The sequence below is a fragment of the Homo sapiens genome, chromosome 2, assembly GCF_000001405.40.
Source record: "Homo sapiens chromosome 2, GRCh38.p14 Primary Assembly".
Lineage (NCBI taxonomy): Eukaryota > Metazoa > Chordata > Mammalia > Primates > Hominidae > Homo > Homo sapiens.
The window spans coordinates 41,408,685-41,433,687 of record NC_000002.12 but is presented as its reverse complement, the minus strand read 5'-3'; the positions used below and the strand labels follow the sequence as shown (position 1 = coordinate 41,433,687).

At 35.7% G+C, this 25,003-nt stretch overlaps 1 long non-coding RNA gene across 1 annotated transcript in view; it reads left to right on the top strand.

The window, feature by feature from the left end:
* The window catches only part of LOC105374506 (uncharacterized), a 165,476-nt gene extending 144,317 nt beyond the window's left edge, over positions 1 to 21,159 (top strand). Inside the window, exon 4 of the long non-coding RNA XR_939997.3 lies at positions 14,647 to 21,159. This is a non-coding gene — a long non-coding RNA (uncharacterized LOC105374506). The remainder of the gene's footprint in view (positions 1 to 14,646) is intronic.
* Positions 21,160 to 25,003: the final 3,844 nt, after the last annotated feature.

The window sequence follows — 25,003 nt, the reverse complement described above, 5'->3', positions numbered from 1 at the left end:
TTAACCCCAAAGAAGAAAGAAAAAGGTAAAATTGAGACAGGGAAACGTTAAGGAATAAGGAGAGTCCTTTTCTGATCACTTGTAAAAGGACTCTGTTTATTCCTTAACGTTTCCCTGTCTCAGTTTTACCTTTTTCCCAAATACCATTTGACCCAGCCATCCCATTACTGGGTATATACCCAAAGGACTATAAATCATGCTGCTATAAAGACACATGCACACGTATGTTTATTGCGGCACTATTCACAATAGCAAAGACTTGGAACCAACCCAAATGTCCAACAATGATAGACTGGATTAAGAAAATGTGGCACATATACACCATGGAATACTATGCAGCCCTAAAAAATGATGAGTTCATGTCTTTTGTAGGGACATGGATGAAATTGGAAATCATCATTCTCAGTAAACTATCGCAAGAACAAAAAACCAACACCGCATATTCTCACTCATAGGTGGGAATTGAACAATGAGAACACATGGACACAAGAAGGGGAACATCACACTCTGGGGACTGTTGTGGGGTGGGGGGAGGGGGGAGGGATAGCATTAGGAGATATACCTAATGCTAGATGACGAGTTAATGGGTGCAGCGCACCAGTATGGCACATGTATACATATGTAACTAACCTGCACATTGTGCACATGTACCCTAAAACTTAAAGTATAATAATAAAATAAAATAATTGTGTTTTGATATTCTTTTTCCTTTTTAAAACAATGATAATCAGACAAAAACTCTCTTCTTTTTAGTGATACAAATGTAGCATATATCCATAATGTAGCATATATCCACAAATGTAGCATATATCCACAAGTGTAGCATACATCCACAAATCTGTAGCATACACATAGCACAAAAGGGTAGCATACATCCACAAATGTAGCATATATCCACAAGACTCAACTAAGTCACATTTTGGTAAGAGCAGGAAAACAAGGTTTTAAGACAACGGAAGCCTCAAATAAGAAAGAGAAAAAAAAGAGTGTCTTTTTATTGCTCATTTTTTTATTGTCTCATTTATTTTTATTTTATTTTATTGTCTCATTTATTTTATTTTATTGTCTCATTTTATTGTCTCATTTATTGCTTCTCATTCTAATTTCTTTGTAGCAAAATTACTTTTTAAATTTCTCTCAAACCTACTGTAGACATGAGATATCATAATCCCTTTTGCCCTTTAACTCATCTCTACATTCTACTACCCACTTCTCTGCCAATACAGAGTAGTTTTGTGTCTATATTTTACTTTACCGCACACACATACATATTACCCCTCGATTACCTTGTCTAACATTTCACATATTTTGCCCCACACTAATATAAGTGCATGGCCTATTAAGTGCATAAGCAATAGGAATTACATGAAGTGCAATTTCTCCTTATGCTTTTTATATGTGAGAAAGAGGTTTAAGAGAAACTATATCCCAAACAATTTTGGTTTTTTTCATGGTCTAGGTGTGAACAGAATGATATTTTTCCACCTTCAGTGACCTGCATAGAGAAGAATTTTCAGACGTGCCGTTTAAAACCGTCATTTTATCCTGAAGAAGGGTAGCTTATGCTATAAATCAGAACAAAGCTTCCAAGTAAAAGCATTATTCTTCTGAGTGATGAAAATGAACTCCTTTGTATTATATGTAATAGAAAGAAAGAATAGGCTTCCAGGTTTCAGGCCTGCAGAATATATATTGCAGCTCAAGGCATGGGCAACCTGCCAGTGATGTGGGCTGATTATTTACCTAATGATTGTTCCTCAGCCCCTTTTATGTGTGTGATGCATTATTGAGAGAGACCAACAAGGCAGAAATGGAAATTACATGGAACTAATGTGGTCATCTTGAGCAATTTATATACAGAAAACTCCTGGTACTTAAAATCTATTATTTAACTATAATGGATAGTATGGTACCAATACAAAACGAAACCAACAAATAAAGAAGGATAAAAATATTTCAAGAGTTTATTTAAGCTAGGATAGAAAGACTGTTGTGGCTTTCTATCCTATCCTGCTGCATTATTTATCTAAAAAAGGTTGTAAAATCTGCAATGAGGCTTTTTAAAAAATGTGATAGTAACAGTGATTGCAAATGTGAATTTCCTTCTTCTTCCTTTATATTTTATTTATTTTTCAGCCATGGTCAGCTTCTGGGTTATTTGGAAGAAACTTAACCAAAGTGGGAAGCTACTTTAATTTCATATAGTCCATAAAACAGGGGGATGACTTACAGAGCTGCTTTCTCTAACTTAAGGCTTTGAAAAGATAAAGCTCTGGGAGACTAAAATCATTAGATCTCCTGTGATTTGCAGGATAATGGATTCATACTACTCTGCCAAAACATACGTACTTACTAAACAGCAAAAATTTAGAACATTGTTGATCTCCAGAATGTGCAGAAATTAAGAATCAAAACAGGAATCGAGCTGATAACAATGAACACTTCCCCCACTACGCCAAGTTTGAAGAACTACAGAGTTTTTGTTTGAAAATAATGCCATGATTTCAAAATAAAAATCCTAGTTTTGATTATATAAATAAGGTTTTAAGATGTCCAGCTTCTTTAGGCCATAAACTTTTTTCTGTGTGTATGTTATCAGATACCTGCCTTGTCTAAATGGTTTGTCCATGTGGCTAAAGGACACTGACCAATCTGAAAGAAAATGATACCTCCCCAAATAATTTTTACCCAAAGATAAGTTTCATCCAATTATTGGCTATGTATCCAGTTCTGGGTATTGTTTGGATATGTCTTTTGTGAAATTGCTAAGCTAAAATAAAATATGACTAGAAACGGAGTGTCATAATAGTTGTATGATCTTCAAAAGCTATTCAAATTCTTCAAGACTTTTTTCTTACTTGTAAAGTGAGGTTAATAACATATACAACACTTGGGTTTTTTTTTTTGTTTGTTTTCAGACAGAGTCTCACTCTGTCAGCCAGGCTGGAGTGCAGTGGCATGATTTTGGCTCACTACAACCTCTGTCTCCCAGGCTCAAGCCATTCTTGTGCCTCAGTGTCCCGAGTAGCTGGGATAACAGGCGTGTGCCATCATGCCCGGCTAGTTTTTGTATTTTGTTTGTAGAGACAGTGTTTCACCATGTTGTCCAGGCTGGTCTGGAAATCCTGACCTCAGGTAATCCGCCTGCCTTGGCCTCCCAAAGTGCTGGGATTACAAGTGTGGGCCACCGCACCTGGCCAATACTTAGTTTTTAAAAGCAAAATAGATAATTACTCTAAGGCCCTTAATACAGTACTCAGGGGGTAAAAAAAACTATAAAATTTTATTAATTATAATAAAAATTATGGTAGAAGCATTCAATTTACAAATAGCAATAAATATAACAATATACAGATAAAACTTTAAAAGAAATATTTATGAAAAAAGTTACAAAATTTTATATGATTTTAAAAATACACTCAGTGGGCTTTCTTGAAGTGGCTTCATATTATAAAAGTGTTGTTTCTTCCAAACCAATATACAGATTTAGTGCAATTCCAATGAAAACTCTCTATCTATCTATCTATCCATCTATCAATAACTTAAATGACTTTAATCAGTATAGGGTATATTTCTAGTTAGAATTTTATGATAATGTGCATTTTATTTGATTTTCTAGTCAACTGAGTTTAAACTTTGTTATTATTTGTATGATAAAATATTAAGCACAAATTAAGCACTTAAGTGCAATAGCATATTTATGCCATTAACATAGTTCTGGTATATAGAAAACTATTCATAAAGTCTGGGTGTTATTATGATTCTCTTAGTGATATTTAAATTCTAAGTATGCACACTTTGAAGTATATTTTATAGAAAGAGCAACAAAAAACCAAAGTGACTGGCTAAAGACAATAAAACTATAAAACAAAATAAAGCATAGTAAAAAAAGCAAATAGAAAATATTTGTTGTTTAAGGTTATTATCAGAATTAATGAAGAAGTAAAGCTCTCATAATAGAAAATAATTTAGTGAAGTACTAAATGATACATCTGGGAAAATCAGTTTTGTTAGAAAATAGGCAGCTAAGAGACAGAAGGAACTCCTATAGATTAAAATAATAAATCACCATAGTAAAATGTGTTTTTCATACTTGAAAAGCTAACTGGTTGAAAGATTTGGGTTAAACCAGTTTTAAAGCTTTTAGTAAGAATGTGGTCATGTTTATTGATTGCTATTTTACTTACCAATGCAAAGCATATTAATTTTCAACCTGCTTGATGATGTAAATAGTTTGCAAAGAATTGTCCAATAAGACCTGCATTTTCAGCAAGAAGGTCATCAGTTAAAAAGATATTTGGAAATGAACAGTTTCAGCTGCACCTATGGTATGTAAAACTACAGGAAAGACAACATTTTATAAAGGGTATTACAATGCTGAACACATCAGCAGCCACTGCTTGCTTCTGTGGGACCTTCTTGTCTTAAGCTGCTTGCCATTTGAGCTCCTCAGTGTGATTCTGATGGTCAAATAAAGGTGATTAAAAATTATAATGAAATGTATAATGATTCTGCAAATTTGTCTACTCAATCATATGCCAGCATAGCTGGGTATATTTGCTGTTCAGAATTTTCAAAGTTGACTTTTATAATATTTTTTCATGATGGGAAAGAAGTATCATGATAAAAGATAAAAATTTATAGTTCAAAGATAAATGAATATCAGCAATTTCATATAGTTGAACTAAATACCGAAGGAGCAGCCACAACCATATGTAAGCATTAATGTTCTCTGTTTAACTTAGTGATTGAGAGGCTCACCAAATTGGCTTATTTACTTGTCATTGTTCTCAAGGTTTAACGCTTCCAATGAACAACTGCATTGCAAAGATATGTACATTTTTATTATTTGATAAAATAACTTTAATTAAAAAAGAAACTTTGAGAGTTGAATGAAGAAAATCCACTGTGGAGACAATGAATCTTTTAAGACTCAGTTGTGAAATATCAGTGGTAAAATAACCTTACATGACTTCATCAAAAAAGTCATTTTATAAATATATCTTTGCAATAACAAAAGAGAATGCCTATTGAATTACTTCAATCTACCATTGCCCAAAAGTCTTGACCTACGGTAGCCCGAAATTTTGACCCAGACTTCCTGCTTTGTCACATTCTGAACATTCTACTCAGTGATCACCCTGACATTCTACATGAAGCAGCAAAAAATTGCATTTTAACTCACAGGTTCACTAGAAAGTGGGTAACCTTCAGAAGCAAACTTTCCCATTCTTCATGGAGAGCTAACCTCCTTCATTTATTAGTCCTCCTGTGCGTAAGCTCTGTTCTCTTTGATGAAGAAACCACTGTTTAGACTGCAATTGTCCTAGCAAAGAACAGCTACATTCTAAACTAATAACAGCTCAATCCCCTGAAGTTAGGAAGGCTTGGTTCCTTCTGTTTTTCTCTTCAGAAGGAAAAACTGATATAAAATGAAAGTGATTTATATATTTGTAGATTCATAGAATTTTAGAGCAAAAAAGAACTTAGAAATGATCAAGCCCAGCTCTTAATTTTTTTTTTCCAGATGAGAAATTGAAGTGTAGAAAAGATGGTCATTGTCTTCAGATGACTCAGCTAGTGTTGGAGTCATGACACCAGATGAAGTCTTCTGACCTTACTTTGTATACTAAGGAAGCCGAGAAAATTTTGAAGATCTTCTGAGAAATCTCTAGTTCAGTTAAGGACATGTTTATCAGTTGATGCCTTTTAATAATTCTAGTTGTCACTAGGCTTGATTCCTTGGAGCTTGATAAACTGATGGATCTTCATTAATTTTAGGGACTTCCTGGAGAACTGTGGTTCTGTTTATTAGAATCCTGATCTAGTGAGTGGTGAGAATATGTGAATTTACTCTGTGTTTAAAGATACTGTATATAGAGCAGCTGTCAGATTGCTTGGCTTCTTGGAGAGTCCTTTAGGGATACCCACTGGATTGCCTCTGGTTGAGAGTAGGGGAAACCTTACAATTTTTAAACAGGAGGAGCTTCAGAGTGACAATCTGGTTAAGAGTGTTTAGAGAGCTACCCTTCAGGTGTATCAATAACTTAGATTTTATACAGATTTAGAATTGCTTGGCATTGAAAGAACTGATAGAAATTATGGAAGACCTCATTCTCTCCCCTAGGTACCACTTCTTACTGGCTCTGGTAGCAACACATGCTGGCTTTAATATAAGTGTCACTGGATACTGAACCCAACAGTCCTCCTAGATTCTATTCTAAGCAGCAGCTGCAGCATTTTCTTAGGAATTAAGTTCATTAACATTCTACCTATATGCAATAAGATGGTCATACATCATCTCAAAATAAATACAAACTATGATTAAATCAGCCTTTATTATTACATGTATAAAATGGTCTGTTTTTGAAACTGAGGGCTAATGCTTTTAGTTGCTTGTTTCTTGTTGACTTAGCCTTCTCTAGCTTCCTTACAGATGTCACCTCTGGTGTATACATCAAGTCAGTTACAATGGCTCAAGTTGTTTTTCAGGAACGTTGGGGCAGCTCTTGTCCAGCTTGAACCATTTCAGACCAGTGACCCTTCAACTGGGCTTGGGAAAATGCCCAAGAGGTGATTTTTTTGATGTCAGAGAATCAAAAACTCCTCCTCAGGTTGTGCTAATGCTGCTGTTTTCTGTACATGAGCCCTATGTGGACCCGTGAACCATGACTATGCTTGCTCAGATCACCGACTACTTCATTCTTCCTCACTGCCAGTCACCTTTCCCCATGCCTTAGACCACTCCAGTTCTTTACCCCATAAATTCCCTAAGACTTATCTTCGGAAAGACAGATTTGATAACTTTTCTCCTGTCTCCTTATTGGGTTGCCCTGTGAACAAATATTTTCTCTACTGTAAAACTCACTGTCTTAGTGATTGACTTTCTGTGGGACGAGCAGAACAAGCCTATTTCAATATCATTTTTATTGTGTTTTTATAAAGCGTTTCACTGTCATTCAAATCCAGGAAAATAATAAGCCAAATTTTTAAATGGCATTATGTCAGTATAAGATTGCTTTTTACAGGATAGTTGTGGATGAAGATTATTCCTAATAACATTTTCTGCATCTGTTAAGATGATCAGGTAGTTTTTTCTTTCGTTTTGTTAACATGGTGTATCGTATTGATTGATTTGTGTATGTCGAGACCTGCTTCCATCCCTGGGATAAATCCCACTTGGTCATGGTGTTTGATCCTTTTAAAGTCCTGTTGAACTCAGTTTGCTAGTATTTTAGTAAAAATGTTTGCATGTGTATATATTAGGGAAATTGGCCTGTAGCTTTCTTTTTTGAAGTGTCTGCCTGGTTTTGGTGTCAGGATGATGCTGGCCTCATAAAATGAGTTTGGAAGTGTTCTCTCTTCAGTTTTTGGAAGAAGTTAAGAAGGATTGGTATAAACTCTTCTTTGAATAATTGTTAGAATTCACTCATACAGCTGTCAGGTCCTGGGCTTTTCTTTGCTGGGACATTTTTGATTACTGATCCAGTCTTCATATTTCTTATTAGTCTGTTCAGGCTTTCTATTTCTTCTTGATTTGGTATTTGTAGTGTATATGTTTCTAATAACTTATTCATTCCTTGTAGATTATTCAGCTTGTGGCCATATAATTGTTCAGAATTTTCCTTTGTGATCCTTTTTATTTCTGAAGCATTTATTTTAAAGCCTCCTGTTTTATTTCTGATTTTTGAGTCTTCTCTATCTTTTCTTAGTTAGTCTAAGTAAGGGTTTGTTGATTTTATTTATCTTTTTTAGAAGCCAACTTATAAAAATCAATCATGCTTCCATTCATACAAAACAAACTATCCAAAAAGGAAGTTAAGAAAACAATGCCATTCACAATAGCAACAAAAAGAATAAAATTTTCAGGAATAAACTTAACCAAAGAAGTGAAACACTTGTACACTTACAAAAATTATAAAATTTTGATGATGAAATTTATCAAAATATTATAATAGTTGATGATGAAAATTATAAAATATTGATGAAATTAAAGAAGACACAGGTAAATGGAAACATTGTATGTTTATATAGTTGAAGAATTAATAGCATTAAAATGTTCATACTACCCAAAAGTGGTCTACGTGTTTTTTTTTTTTGGCATGAATGTTTATCACACCTTTATTTGTAATAGTCCCAAACTGGAAATAACCCAGACATCCAACAACAAGTAAAGGATAAATAAATTGTTGTATATCCATGGAAAAGAACATAACTCGGCAATTAAAAGGAATGAACCACTGATACGGGAAACAACATGAATGGATCTAAATATTATGCTGAATGAGAATTCAGGCAAAAAAGAGTACACACTGTTTATTCCAATTTATATAGAATTCTAGAAAAGACAAAAATAATCTATAGTGACAGAAAGCAGACCAGTGTTTACCTAGAGGGTGGAGTAAAAAAAGACATAGATTACAAAGGGTCTCAAGGAAACTATTAAGAATCATGGAAATGTTTGCTGTATTGATTGTGATAATTACATAGGTGTGTATATGTGTCAAAACTGATCAAATTCAAATTCAAACTTCAAATATGTGCATTCAAATTTACATCAATAAAGTTGTACCAAAAAAGTGGAGAGAGGAGAATCCAACTTATTGACAAAAGCAATGTGTGTCTCTATGGTTTCTGTTTCTAGCCATACAGTGGACTAGAAAAACTGATCTTTTCACTGCAAAACATTTAGAAATGATGAATAGCTATTACAGCCATCCTCTAAAGTGTATGGTTTGGGCTTCCCTTGAGGAATGGAGAGAGGTTGCTAGACCCTTTAGCAAGGAGCTTTGGTTTTGACAGTCACTTGTGGACAAAAACCTGGCCCTTACAGGGTAGGATTCTGGAATGAGACTGCCCTACATTCCTGAGATCACCGAAGGCCTACATCCTTGGTGAAAGGCTGGACTAGAAAAAAAATCCACTGTGGGCCCAGGATGAAAATAAGGAAGCCAGTCTGGACGCGGTGGCTCAGGCCTATAATTCTAGCACTTTGGGAGGCCAAGGTGGGTGGATCACTTGAATTCAGGAGTTTGAGACCAGCCTGGCCAACATAGCGAAACCCTGTCTCTACTGAAAAGACAAAAAAATAGCTGAGCATGGTGGTACGTGCCTGTAGTCCCAGCTATTCAGGAGGCTAAGGGAGGAGGATCGCTTGAACATGGGAGACGGAGGTTGCAGTGAGCCGACATCAGGCCACTGATTCCAGCTCCAGCCTGGGCAACAGAATGAGATTATGTCTTAAAAAAAACAAACAAAAAAAAGCAGCGCTTGTGGGCCTTGTTTGTCTCTCAGAGCACGTAACCACAGCCTATCCCTCATATGGATTTAGGATTTTATACCTTTCTTTGCATATTTTTATTGTTAATAAAATTGTTAATCCTTATCATGATTCAGCAAGTTGGGTATTATGGTCCTGATTGTGTCCAGGAAATAAGCTTTTATTTTTAAATTCCCATAGGTTTTGAGGGAACAAGTGGTATTTGGTTACATGAGTAAGTTCTTTATTAGTGATTTGTGAGATTTTGGTGCACCCATCATCTGAGCAGTATACACTAAACCCAGTTTGTAGCTTTTTATCCTTCAGCCCCCTCCCACCCTTTCCACAAGTTCCCAAAATGCATTGTATCATTCTTATGCCTTTTCATTCTCCTAGCTTAGCTCCCACTTATAAGTGAGAACATACAGTGTTTGGTTTTCCATTCCTGAGTTAGTTCACTTAGAATAATAGTCTCCAATTCCATCCAGGTTGCTGCAAATGCCATTCATTCATTCCTTTTTATGGCTGAGTAGTATTCCACCATATATATGTACCACATTTTTTTTATCCACTCATTGATTGATGGGCATTTGGGCTTGTTCCATACTTTTGAATTTGCAAATTGTGCCGCTGTAATCATGTGTGTGAAAGTATCTTTTTCATATAGTTACTTCTTTTCCTCTGAGTAGATACCCGGTAATGGGATTGCTGGATCAAATAGTAGATCTGCTTTTAATCTTTAAGGAATCTCCACACTGTTTTCCATAGTTGTTGTACTAGTTTACATTCCCACTAGCAGTCTAGAAATGTTCCCTTTTCACCACATCTACACCAACATTTATTATTTTTTGATTATGGCCAAAACAGCATGGTACTGGTATAAAAACAGGTACCTAGACCAATGGAACAGAATAGAGAACCCAGATATAAACCCAAATATGTAATTCCAACTGATCTTAGACAAAGCAAACAAAAACATAAAGTGGGGAAAGGACACCATATTCAACAAATGGTGCTGGGATAACTGGCAAGCCACATGTAGGAGAATGAAACTGGATCCTCATCTCTTATCTTATACAAAAATCAACTCATGATGGATAAAGGACTTAAATCTAAAACCTGAAACTATAAAAATTCTAGAAGATAATATCAGAAAAACCCTTCTAGAAATTGGCTTACACAAAGATTTCATGACCAAGAACTCCAAGGCAAATGCAACAAAAGCAAAGATAAATAGGTGGGACTTAATTAAACTAAAGAGCTTCTGCACAGCAAAAGGAACAGTCTGCAGAGTAAACAACCCACAGAGTGGGAGAAAAATCTTCACAATCTATACATCTGACAAAGGACTGATATCCAGAATCTACAAAGAACTCTAATTAGCAAGAAAAAAATCCCATCAAAAAGTGGGCTAAAGACATGAAGAGAAAATTCTCAAAGGAAGATATACAAATGGCCAACAAACAAGAAAAAAATGCTCAACATCACCAATGATCAGAGAAATGCAAATCAAAACCACAATGTGATACCACCTTACTCCTGCAAGAATGGCCAAAGTGATCTACATATTGATTGCAATCCTTATGAAAACCCCAGTGGCATTTGCTATGGCAGTAGAAAAAAAAATCTGGAAATTCATGTAGAACCACAGAAGAATCCCAGTAGCCAAAGCAATCTTCAGAAAGAACAATGAAGTGCAAGAATCAAATTATCTGTCTTCAAAATATACTACAAAATGATAGCAATCAAAGCAGTGTGGTACTGGCATAAAAAAAAGAGACACAGACCAATGGAACAGAATAGAGAACCCAGAAATAAACCCACTCATCTATAGTCAACTGATCTGTAAAGGTGCCATGAACACAAAATGGGAGAAGGATAATCTTTTTAATGGTGTTGGGAAAACTGGATGTCCACATGCAGAAGAATGAAATTTGACCCTTGGATTATACCATATATAAAAATCAACTAAAAATGGATTTAAAAACTTAAAAGTAATACCTGAAACTATAAAAATACTAGAAGAAAACACATGGGAAGAGCTTCTTGACATTTGTCTGGGCAGTGGATTTTTGGATATAACACCAAAAGCACAGAAAACGGAAGCAAAAATAGAGAAATGGGATTACATCAAGCTGAAAAGCTTATGCATTTCAACAGGGACAATCCACACAGTGAAAAGGCAACGAAATATTTGCAGACCATACCTGATAGGGGGTTAATCCGCAAAATACATAAGAAGCTCATACAAGTCAATAGCAAAAAACCTGTTTAAAAAATTGGCAAAGGACCTGATTAAACGTTTCTCAAAAGTTGATATACAAATAGTCAACAAGTATATGAAAAGGTGCTCATAATCCCTAATCATCAGAGAAATGTAAATCAAAACCACAATGGGCTATCACCTAATACCTATTAAAATAGCTATTATTAGAAAGACTGAAGATACAAATGTTGTTGAGGATGTGGAGAAGAGGAAACTCTTGTGCAATCTTGGTGGGAATGTAACTTGGTATTGCCATTTTGGAAAATAGTATGAAGCTTCCTCAAATGATTATGAATATAACTATCCTGTGATCTAGGAATTCCACTTATGATCATATATCCAAAGGAAATGAAATCAGTATGTTGAAGAGATATCTGCACTTCCATGTTCATACAAAATGATTTCTAATAGCCAAGATATAGAAACAACCTAAACATTTATTGATGATGAATAGATAAAGGAAATGTTATATATATATATATAATATATATATAATGGAATAATATATATGATGTATATACAATGGAATATCATATATAATATATACAACAGAATATCATATATATGATATATTTTATATATATATATATATACACACACACACACACACACACACACAATGCAGTCATTAAAAAGGAAGAAAATTGTACTAGTCCGTTCTCAAGCTGCTAATAAAGACATACCTGAGACTGGGTAAATTATAAAATAAAGAGGTTTAATTGACTCACAGTTCAGCATGACTGGGGAGGCCTCCGGAAACTTACAGTCAGGTGGAAGGGGAAGCAAACATCTTCTTCACATGGCAGCAGGAAGGAGAAGTACCCAGCAAAAGGGGGAGCATCCATTACAAGACTATCAGATTCTGTGAAAACTCACTACCATGAAAACAGCATGAGGGTAACCATCCCCATGATTAAATTACCTTTCACTTGGTCCCTCCCTTGACACTTGGGGATTTCGGAAACTACAATTCAAGATGAGATTTGTGTGGGGCACAGCCAAACCAAATCTGAAACCTTCCATTTGTGACTGTATAATTAAACCTGGAAGATATTATGCTTCCAGGACAATATGCTAAGTGAAATAAGCCAGATGCAGAAAGACAAATACTGCTGTTATCATTTATATGTGGAATCTAAAAATGTCAAAGTCATGGAAGCAGAGAATAGAATGGTGCTTGCCAGGGAATGGGGAAGGGAAAATAGGGAGATGTTGGTCAAGGGGCTCAGAGTTTCAGTTATGCATGATGAATAAGTTCTGGAGATGTAATGTACAACCATGTGACTATAATTAACAAGACTTTATCGTATACTTGAAATTTACTAATAGAGTAGATCTTAAGTGTCTACGCCACACACACACAGAAAAAGAAGGAAAGTACTGTCTGAGGTTACAGATATGTTAATTAGTATGAAATGATTATTTTGCAGGGTATGTCTCTGACAACTCATCAAACTGTACCCCTTAAATTTATACAATCTTTGTCAAATATTGCTCGATAAAAATTATTACTAACAGAAAGTTTAAAGCAGAACAGTACGAAAAAATGAGATATGGTTTACAGTTGATCAGCATTTAAAAAGTACGGAATTAAAGCCTCAAATAAAGTATTTGTACATAATTTGGGCCAGGTTATCTACATGTCTAACCATGTAACACTTGACCTTTTACAACTAATAAAAGCAGAAGTGACTCCAAGGCAGAAACTAAAGGGAGCTTGGTTTGCTCTGCAGTATTCTTGGACTTGGCAAGATACACGGTATTAAGTTCAGAGCCAGTCTGCTAGACTTCAACAAAAAGGTTTTAGCTAAAATTCATGGCTTGAAGTATTGCTATATTTGCTTAATAAGCAACTCATACCTACTTCACCATGAGAAGCTATTTGATAAAGGAAATATGCCGGCCAGAAGTCACCTCTCTGCCTAAATATATCTTTTGCACAGAACGTTTACAATTCCACCTCTAAAACAATGGTTGCTTTTCTCACGAAGAGTTTTGATATAGCTTTAAAAATAATTGCCCTGTGCTTCCAAGTGCTCAATGATAAATGAGGTTGGATTGCAGATCTGTATTCTTTGCTAAGTTAGATGCATTTTGTCGGTTTTCTGTGGAATATCTTACATCACTATTTAAGGAAACTTAAGAAGGTGCCTCCTGTTATTTTTAGAGACAGCAGGGATTTCCTTGAGGTACCTTTTATATATATTGACACTAAAGTTACAATAACTTTGAAAGTAGGTGGATGGAAAATATTCAGAAGACAGAATAAATGCTGAATAAGAAAAAGTCTACACATGTAATTTACATCACGAGGACTATAATTAATAATATTGTATGCTAGAACGTTGCTAAGAGAGTAGATTTTTGGTGCTGTAACCACACACAGACACACAACACATACACACACACACAATGTGAGATGATAGAGATGTTAATTTGTTTGACTGTAGTAGTAGTTTTACCATGTATATGTATATCAAAACACCATACGGTACACCTTAAATATAGACAATAAAAACGAAGTTTTAGAGAAGTCATGGGCATCACGAAAAAGTATTTATTATCTCAATAATCACAGAAAAATATTTTGGAAATACTGCTTTCATAAAGACATAAATCAAAATGCTACCTATTTTTTGTGGGGGAAGGAAAATGGACACCTTCAAAATGTTCTGAATGGCAATTTGACCAAAGCTTTAGAAATGTGCCTAATCTTAGGCTCAAAAATCCTCCTTAAAGAAATGTATCCCAAAGAAATGTTTACAATATGCAATAATATTTTGCTATCATATTTCATTCTTGGACTAAAACGTGTGATAATACTTCATTACAGTATTATTTATATTACTGAAAAATACAACATTTCTCATAGTAATGATTGTCTAAATTAATTCTTATATATATAATGCATATACAGAAAATGCAAATCTACTCAAGTATTAAAATTATGGAGATGATAATGACATAGAAATATGTTCATATAATATTAACAAAAAGCATGCTATAAACTATTATGAATCAGTTGAAAATATCTAGAAGGATATACAAGTTGTAAAAAGTGAACTGCAGATTTTGTTCTGATTTCACCAGTGTTTTCACTTATGTCCTCTTTATTTTTCAGGCTACAAGCCAGGATACTACACTTAATTGACATATCTTCTTAAACGCCTCTGATTTGTGACGGTTTCTCAGTCTTTCCTGCTTTTCATGACCTTGATGCCTTTGAAGAGAAGTGGTGAGATGTTTTTCAGATTTTCTCTCAGTTGTCTCAACTGTGATTTGTCTGATGTTTTTCTCATCATTAGGCAGGTGTGATGCGTTTCACAGAACAACACTACAGAGGTTTAGTGCCATTCTCATCTTATTGTATCAGGAGGTACATGATAGCAACAAGATTCATTGCTGGTGATCTTAACCATAATTACTTGGTTAAGGCAATGTTTTCCAGGTTTCTCAAACACCCTGACAACAAAGCCTATCTTCTTAGCTGTTTATCTGAGACTTGAATCTTCTAATTTCTTACCTTAGGAATTCTCCATTTAGTCATTTAGTAGAAAGTGAGTAATATAGAATTTTCTTCCTAGACAAATCGTTCTGATGACAGGAGAGGGATGGGCTTACTCTCTGTGCTACCTTGGTTTACTGGAAACATGGTCACTTGATTCATTCCTGACTCCTATCAATTCCTCCTGTGCCCAATAATCCATTTTGGTTCATTCTCTGAAGAAAAGAATGCAATCAAAATCTAATTCTCACAATATCACTTGGATGTCTAAAAATACTGAGTTAAAGAGATAGTAGAATTTGATTATATAAAAAAATTTGTACACCAAAGTGTTAATTTCCTTAATAGAGAACTACTATAAATATTTAAGAAAAAATGGGCAAATGGTATGTTCAGATAATTTATAGCAAAGAAAATATAAATAATGTCAAATATTTAAAATGATGCCAGTTTTCTCTTAATAAGATAAATATAATCAAAATTATCATGTGATCACATTTAAAAATTATTGGGGTAGCAAAGACCAGAATGCTTGATTACAAACTATGTTGGCAATGGTCTGGGAAAACAAACACTTCTCATTGTTTCTGGGAAGGTAAATCGGTAAACTCAGTACTGAGAGCAATTGTACGTTGTCTCTCATAAATAGAAATGCACTTTTTGAATCCTTCAAGTCCACTTCTACATTAGAACCTTAATGTATATAATAAACAGTATAGATATGCCAGCATATGCATAAAGTAATTTATGTATAAGAATAATTTTTGTAGCAAGAGATCAGTTAAATAAATTGTTGCAACAGCACAAAATGAAAAGCTAAGCAGCTTTATGTGTACCAGTAAGAAAACATCTCCAGGATATTTCTTAAAGTTAAAAATGAAAACAAAACCAAAAAGGATAGAATGGCATGTAAGATAGTTTACTGTTCGAATTGGAAGTTAAGACTACCATCTGGCCAATCTGGGCTCCTCATGCCTCTGAATCAACAGGAAAAGAAGAGTTACTGTGCTGGGTAGGTTGATTGATCTGAATACCAAGGGGAAATTTGACTACTGCTCCACAACACTGGTAAGAAAGAGTAGGTCTGGAATACAGAAGACACCTTAAGATGTCTCTTAGTTTTACCATGTCCTGTGATTAAGGTCAATGGGAAACTACAACAATGCAATCCAGTAATGACTATGAATGACCAAAATCCTTCAGAAATGAAAGTTTGGATCACTCCACGATATAAAGAAGCATGACCAACTGAGGTGCTTGCTGAAGACAAAAGGAATACAGAATGGGTGATGGAAGAAGGGAGTTATAAATACCAGTTACAACCACATGATCATTTACAGAAATGAGGATTTTAATTCCCATGAGTATTTACTCTTTATTTTGCTAGGAATATATCAGTATATATATGCATATATATGCACATATTTATTTATAGAGATGTACTCCTTTCTTTTATTTCCTTATTATGTTACATTATTGACTCTCTTTGGTCTCCAGCTTTCTGATTGCATATCTTGGGATTTGTCATAATGAAGCAAACGAATTCCTTATAATAAATCTGTTTCTAATATATATATCCTATTGGTCTATATGTTGGTATGTATATATAACAATAGGATACACACACACACACACACACACACACACACACACACACCCCACATCTTCTGTTGGCTCTGTTTTGCTGGAGAACCCTAATACACTTTGGAAAAGTACCAAAGTAACAGAGGTAACACCTACCTCTCAGTGGTTCAGCTTACTCTCTAAAAAATAAGGGAATTAAACTGGAACAACTACATGTTTCCTTTTAACTGTAGCCTTCTGTGTCATACAGTTATTTCCCTATAGATGGTCTCTCAGTTTCTCTCCTGAGCTTAGGTTCTATTTTTCACTCTGCTTATTTTTTATTTTTCCTAAAGTTACAGTATGCTCAGTATGTCCCAAATTGACCATGCCTGTTAAGAAAGCCATTTCCTCTCTTCTGTTATTTTCTAAGGCACCAGGTTTTCGTTTTTTAGGAATGACCAAATTTGAGATTGTCTCTTCTCTCTGAGAAAGGTAGTACTCTGATTATTTGTGATGGCAATCAAACAAATACTGCATAAGACTAAAGAAAGAAGCATATCACAGGGTTTTGCACTCTCTCATTTCTCTATGAAGTACAATACCAAGTAACACAGAACTGCTACAGACCCAGAATTCTTCAGTTATCTGAACAGTTCTGGGTTCTAGAGCTGACTTCCACGTCTAGGCAATGCGGTTTATAACCATAGGGTTGCTGCAGCCTTCCAGGCAGGTCTTTGTAGAGACTACTCATTTGCATCTCTGCTAAGGAGAAGAAAACCTTTCCAGCCCTTTTTATTGTTTTATATATATATATATAAAAATAGTGAACACATATTGGTACCAAATAGCAATTTTATCTTATCTTGGTATATTTGGCTTATGAATAGTTGATAAGGCTTTATCTTACTGTTGGTTACTTGTTTCCCATGAGAAGAAAAAGATTGTTTTATGATGCTTTAAGAGGGCTCATTCCTTTGTGAAGGATTTCCAGAGATTCTCCTATAACATGTTCCCAGTCTTCAGATTTGTCTCTTGTTCAACCATCTTACCAATTCTGATGCCAAATCCATCATAGAAATGATGTACCTTTGGAAATGAATCCATCCTATGGATTCCCTGCATCCCCACTGCTGCCTTTATATGCAGGACTCTCAGCACATTCTACCAGGATTCTGCAGCAAATGCTCAGAACATCCTCTAGTTCTGATTTTCCCACTACACATCCATGCTTCACACTCATTATTCCAATGAATTTCCTCTAAGTCTTGCTTTTATTTTCTGTCACACCTTTGGTGATAAATCCTGCCGTGATTCTAATGAGAGCTCAACGTCATTCAACTTTCAAGGAATGTTTATAATCAATTCTACTTTCCATACCTGTCAATATCTCATGACTCCACCTAGTCAACCACCAAGCTTCACTAATTATACTCCCCAAATATATCTTCTCTCAATACAATTTACTCCATGCAGAAAAGACATTATTTAGATAGATATATTCATAGAAAGATAAATGTATAAATAAAAATATATAACTTTATCAATATGCATATTTAATTTCATAAGTTAAAATTATTTGTATTCAGATGGACAATGGTTTGAAATCTGTTTATGCCTCCAACTAAGCTGAACAAACATGGACACATTATTTAATCTTTCTGAGCCTCAAATATTTAATCCTGCTGAATTATTTTGAAGATTAAATGATATAAAATACTTAAATTGTCTATGGTCTGGCATATAGTACTTAATAAATTAAAGCATATTTCTTGATTTTAGATTTGATTTATTTTCTCTATTTCCAAGCTGTAGTAGTCTGGGTCCAATTGGGAGACAGAAACCAGACAGCAGGTTATATAAGGGAAGTTAATGTAAAGAATTATTAACTGTGATAAAAGAGAAACTATATAAGGAAACTATATAGTAGCCTAGGGCTGAGGAAGAGTGCCTAAGGGAGGACAAACTCAGAAGGGGCGTGTTTCAGACCTTGTTGGGGAAGGTATAGTTTAGCCCAATGGATAGCAGAGGTGTTTACTGGTTAGGCCAGGCCTGAGCAGGTCTAGAGTTCCTGGGCAAGCAGGGTAGGTTAGGTAGGTTAGCACGTGGTGGCATGGTTTTGCAGTGAGAGTCTGGTGCCAGCCATGGTAGAAGGCCTGTAGCACATGCAGCCTGGCATGAGAGTGGGGTTTTGAAACAGTGCTTGGTGTTTGATGCTCCAGGTCAGAAGCAGATGTTGGAAATCCACTCAGAGAGTCCAGGTGTTGGTGTGGCAGGAGGCCATCAGAGCAACACCTACATGTGTGGAGGGTTCTGGTTTCCATGTCTAGAGGACTGAAGAAAGGTTATTGATACGTCTAGGATGCAACGAGGTCTCAATGGAATCATGTTCTAAGCTGGTGGCTGGGGCACATTCCACTGGATGTCTGCACACCCATACAGCTAATCTCTTCCTCCTGCAATGTCTCTCCAGCGCCCTCTACTGAGAAATCTTAACATTGTGCTCATTAAAGTGAAAAGTTTTAAAGGAATCCTTGATTTGGTACAGAGCATATAGTGAAGGGTGAATTCAGAAATAAGAAGCAATAAATTGATAAGTGGCACACAGTCTATAATACCAATTAGCTTGTCTGATTAAGATAAAATTTTCTCCTGTTGTATTTCGTGTGAAGAAGTTATAACCTTCTTTTATAAGGAATGGGGTTCCCAGCTGATTAACCAGGAATAAGCAATTTTTGCTTCACTTTGTAATAATTGAGTCATGTGACAATCGCTGAGTCAGCATTTGAATATAGACCCAAGTCTTATTCATGGGAGCATACTTTAAATGTATTTAGCATCATTTTATGTATTGGTTTATTCCAGAGCAGAAAGAAATTGTATTTGCAGGATTTGACATCAAAAATGCATTTGAATCATTTAGATAGTCTTTTTGTGGGTGGTAAAAATTTTAAAACTCTTGTTTATTGATGTTTTGTCTCTTTCTTAATCTCTCCTAACAAATCTATTGTTCTTCCCTTGTCAATAAGCAAGCATGCTCCCATGGCAGGCTGAAACATTTCAGGACTTTCCCATGACCTCATATTTCTATTCCTTTGAGGCACATGGTCTTATTTCTTTTTAAGCTTTAGCGAGAACATCCGGTCCTTTCTTCTCAGATCTATTCTGATTTTTTTACTTTGTATATCTGATCAAGATGTTTTATAAATTTGAACATGTCCACTGCTCATTAAAACAGGTCATCCCAATCAGTATAAAATGTGATTTTTAGTCTTTTCTTTTTAAAAGTGTAAGAAATGCTTATTCCTTAGGAACTTATTTAATAGGAGATATGAATACCTTTTTGTTTTTTACTGAACTCATTTTAACGTGCCTTTGAGTTCATGTGCAAATTTGATTTCGTTAGCCTTGTAGGTGCAAGACTTCCTACTCTCTCACTGTGGAGGAGACACTAGGTTGCTGTGAAGTGAAAGAATGGGCTTGAATCCTGGAGCTACACTAGGCTAATAGTGCTATTTTCTGTAAACTGAGGGACAGTTTATGTATGTGAAAATACTTTGCACAATTGTAACAATTAAATTGTAAAAATATACAGGAATACTGCATAATTATTTTGAGGGTGGTAGTGATGATTCTGAGGGCTAGGATATTTACGGATACAGTGGGGAAGCCCCCTCTTGTTCAACATTTTCTAGAGAATGTCCATGTTAAACTTATACTTTCTGCTTCCTAGGAAGAATATCTCAGACTTTCTCTTAGCTCTTCTCCCCTTGGCTTTTCTGTGCTATGTCATTCATGGCATTTTTGTGGGATCTACCTAAAACAGAAAATACTATTTTAGAACAGCTGGTTTCTGGGTCAACTTTGGAGACTCAATTTCAGTAATTTTCCAATTTAATAAAACAGTTGGAATATGTTTATATTGATTTTAAAATGACAAAGCAAATGAGAAAAGGTATAATTTAATAGATCCAAGAACTATTGATGAGGAAAATTACTAGTAGCTAGTTCCAACTGCCATCGATTGACACTGAAATGAAGAAAAGAGATGTACACGTATTTGTGAACACCCCATTTTCATGTCAACCAAAGGATTATCAACTTTTCATCTTCAAAATAGATTTCATAGTATACTTTTCATGTGTAACTATATATAAGGTTAATGGCTCTATCTTTTGTGAACCACAACCTATTTGTCCAGCTCCTGCTTTGAGCTTGATGTTTTAATCTTCACAAATATTTGAGGAAGATATAATTATGTCCATAATTATAGCAAAGTGCTAGGTGCAGGCTAGCACTTTGTGTACAGTGGCATAATTACAAAAATCACATCCAGATCTGTCTTTAACCATGCTTCTTTTACCCTGCTATCTTTAAATATAAAAAGCAGTGATTACAATTGTAAAATAACAGGAGTAGAAATAATATGTTGTATTCAGTGGGAAGGAATTGCCCTTTGTTAAGGCAATAATTATAGGACAGTAATTCTCTAACTGAAATAATATACAGATTTTAAGAAAAAACTTATGAAATTCCAATGTTAATTTAAATTTTTTATAACATTATAAAAGCACAAAGATAAAACTAGGTATGTTTCTTATGTTTATGGTTTTTATGCCACTTAAAACCAAATTAATTAATACTTATAAATTAAGTATTAACAGCATTACAAACCAATAACATCTAGTTTAGAAACACTAGCTAGGCCTGGCGCAGTGGCTCACGCCTGTAATCCCAGTACTGCGGGAGGCAGCGCATCATGAGGTCAGGAGATCGAGACCATCCTGGCCAACATGGTGAAACCCCCTGTCTACTAAAAATACAAAAAAAGCAACTGGGCATGGTGGCGCACATCTGTAGTCCCAGCTACTTGGGAGGCTGAGGCAGGAGAATCACTTGGACCCTGGAGGCGGAGGTCGCAGTGAGCTGAGATCGCGCCACTGCACTCCAGCCTGTCAAAACAGCGAGACTCCGTCTCAAAACAAAAACAAAAACATACTAGATAATGTGCTAGATTTATTTTGTGAAAATAAAGTTGCTCTCTGCAATGAGAATATGATATTGACTTCTAACGGTTCTGTTCTTTTATATTCAGGGTACTTACATGTTTTGGGTTGACTCAGTTGTCTTGCCTCTTTGTGTTATTTGAAGTTTTGTGAGACTTTTATTGTGTATACTCCTTTAGTCTGTTTCGTGCTGCTATAGCAGAGTATCCAAGACTGGGTAATTTATAATGAATAGGAATGTATTGTCACCCAGTTCTGGAGGCTGGAAAGTTCAATATCAAGGTTCTGGCATCTTAGGAGGGCATTCTTGCTGCATCAACACATGGCAGGTGAAAGGGAAAGAGAGAGGGAGAGAGAGAGAAAAGATAGAGATCTATTATTTAGTTCCTAATTTGGAGCATTTGGTTCTATTATTTTATCCCACCACAATACACTCATTTATTCCATTGTTTTCAATATTTTTACTTATAGTATTTGTTCATATTAGGTTTTAGTGATTTATTACATAACAAAGGATAATAGCAGTTTTATTCAGTCCTGAGCCAAGTAATGTACTATGCTAATATTTATATCTTTTTATTGTGGTTGTTTTTTTTTTTTTTTGAGATGGAATCTCGCTCTGTTGCCCAGGCTGGAGTGCAGTGGCACGATCTCGGCTCACTGCAAGCTCCGCCTCCAGGGTTCATGCCATTCTCCTGCCTCAGCCTCCCGAGTAGCTGGGACTACAAGCGCCAGCCATCACGCCAGGCTAATTTTTTGTATTTTTAGTAGAGACGGGGTTTCACCATGTTAGTCAGGATGGTCTCTATCTGCTGACCTTGCGATTCACCTGCCTCGGCCTCCCAAAGTGCTGGGATTACAGGCGTGAGCCACCGCGCCCGGCCTAATCTTTGTATCTTAAATAATTTTCTGTTTTTCCTGGATTTAATACTGTCTTTTTATACTTGATTTCATCTTCCTTTATTTGCTTATCAGTAATTCTTCCCAGTCTCTCCAACAGAATATTATTTTTTAAATGGCCATGTAAATAATCAATTAGTTCAATTTTTTGTGAAAACATTCCTTCTGGAGCACCCCATCTTCCCACGTCAATCTGGTCTGCTTGCCTGCTAGCCTCTGCACATTGATCCTACATGTTTTTTTTGTTTTTTTTTTGCCTCTGTCTCCTGAGCTGATGAAGCACATCCTTCAGTAGCTTTCTGAGAAAGGACACATAGAACTTTACTGATCTGAAAATACTTTTATCCTAATCTTAAACCAGTTGATGGTTGCCTGGATTTAATTCTCAATTGAACAGAATGTTTTTTTCTGAATTTGAAATCATTTTTACAGACTTCTATTGTTTAGGTTTTCTGTTGAGATGTCTTTACAGCTTTATAAATAATCTGCCTTAACTCCTTACCTCAGTCCTCCATCTTTCCAATCTTTTATGTGCAGTTTTAAAAATTCTTTGTCATTTTCTGAAATGTTCTAATATCCTCTTTTCAATAGAACATATTCTTATTAAACACAATGTCTTAACGTTATTCTCCCTTAGCATATTAACAGCATCTGTGTTGAAATTTTATTTTGGTTTTTGTGCTATTTTTGTTGGTTTAAATATCTTCAATGTTGAAAACTTCTTAAGTGTCTAATGCCCTTGGTGGTTTATTCATAATCAAGAGAGAAGCACTAATTTGCTAAATAGTGGGTTTCACTATAGATCAGGGTATCTCAATCTTAGTTTCTCAAGATTGAGAAATTGTATTAATATTGACAGTCAATATTTTCAGCAATATTAACATCTTGGGCTGAATAATAGTTTGTTGTCTATACTCTGCATTATTGGAAGTTTCACAGCATTCCTGGCCTCTATCCACTAGATGCCAGTAGCACCCCTCCCAGTTATGACAACCAAGAATGTCTCCAGATATTGCCAAATGTTTTCTATAGGACCGCATCGCTGCAACTGAGAATTATTGCTATGCAGTGATGAAGTAGGGACCTTGTCATTTTGCCCACCTGGCCATTTTTTGGGGTGATGTCCAAATGGTAGCTTTTGTAATTGTATTATTCAGGATTCTCCATAGAAATCGAACCACTAGGCTGTGTGTGTGCATGTGTGTCTGTGTGTTTGAGGCAGAGAGAGAGAGAGAGAGAGATTGAGATTGAGATTTAGGAAATGGGTTCACGTAATTGTGACATCTGGCAAGTTCAAAATCTGCAGGGTAAACCAGTAGGCTAGAGACCCAGGGAAGAGGTGATACTGCAGTTTGAATCTAAAGGCTGTCTGCTGGTAGAATTCTCTTTTCATTAAAAGAGGTCAGTAATTTTTTATTTAGGCCATTAGCTGATTAGATGATGCCCATGCATATTATGGAGAGAAGTCTGCTTTACTCGAGGTCTACTGACTTAAGTGTTAATCTAATCTAAAGAAAACTTTTACGAAAATATCTGGAATAATATTTAATCAAATATCTGGTATTGTGGCCTAGACAAAATGGTCACATAAAATTAACCAGCCTTTCAGTTTTTTCAAGGAAAATCCTCCAGTCTCCTCCTAGGGGCAGCATACGCTTGACTGTGAAAATTCTTGGAGTCAGTGGTGGGAGGTACAGTTTTCGGCAGTTTCCCTTTCTCCCTAAGGCAGGTCTATGTCTTCCTTCCTCTTTATTGTGCCTGATGTGCCTATGTCTGGAACTCAGGTTCTCCATATCCTGAGAATGATCCTCCAATTTACTGCAAGGGTAGAGGATGGATAATCATTTGGATGTGGAGGAGACTTAGTATTCTAAATTCTCTTTATGTAAACATTCAATAAATCCCTCTCTTTTCAGTTCCACACCTTTCCTCAGTGTCTGCAGTGATCAGCACCTCCAGTATGAGCCTGTTGTAGCTCATACTTGGACATAGGTCTTGATAATGCCTCCATCTGCTTCCTTGTTTGAGACACCTTCTCTTCACCCCATTGGTGAGAAAGAGTTTCCTATCCTAAGATTGTGGAGATGGCTGAATACATGCCATCCAATACCAGACAGATGAGCTCTATAGCAGTTTACTTGTTGTATATGCGTAGCCCAGGGTTGTTGACACTGAGTCACACTGGACCACACAGGGGTTGCACTTGGGAATAGAGTGAACAGGCAATGGATTGGGAGTTAGACTTTCTCATAACAAGAGAGTGCAGTGACCAATGGTTCACTTTTGTCTTATTTGAATAATTCTCTGAGGGCTGGTAGCAAACTGAAGCCCCACTACTCAGAGATAAGCAGGCATTCTGCCTGGTTGCCATGATAAAGAGAATAGTTTGACTACAGGACCTTACCTGAGGAAGCAGCGTGGAAACAGGGACTTGCAGTTAGGCCATTTGAGGTCCTCTTGATTTTACCAGATGCCAAGACAGCATATAATATTAATGTAAGGCC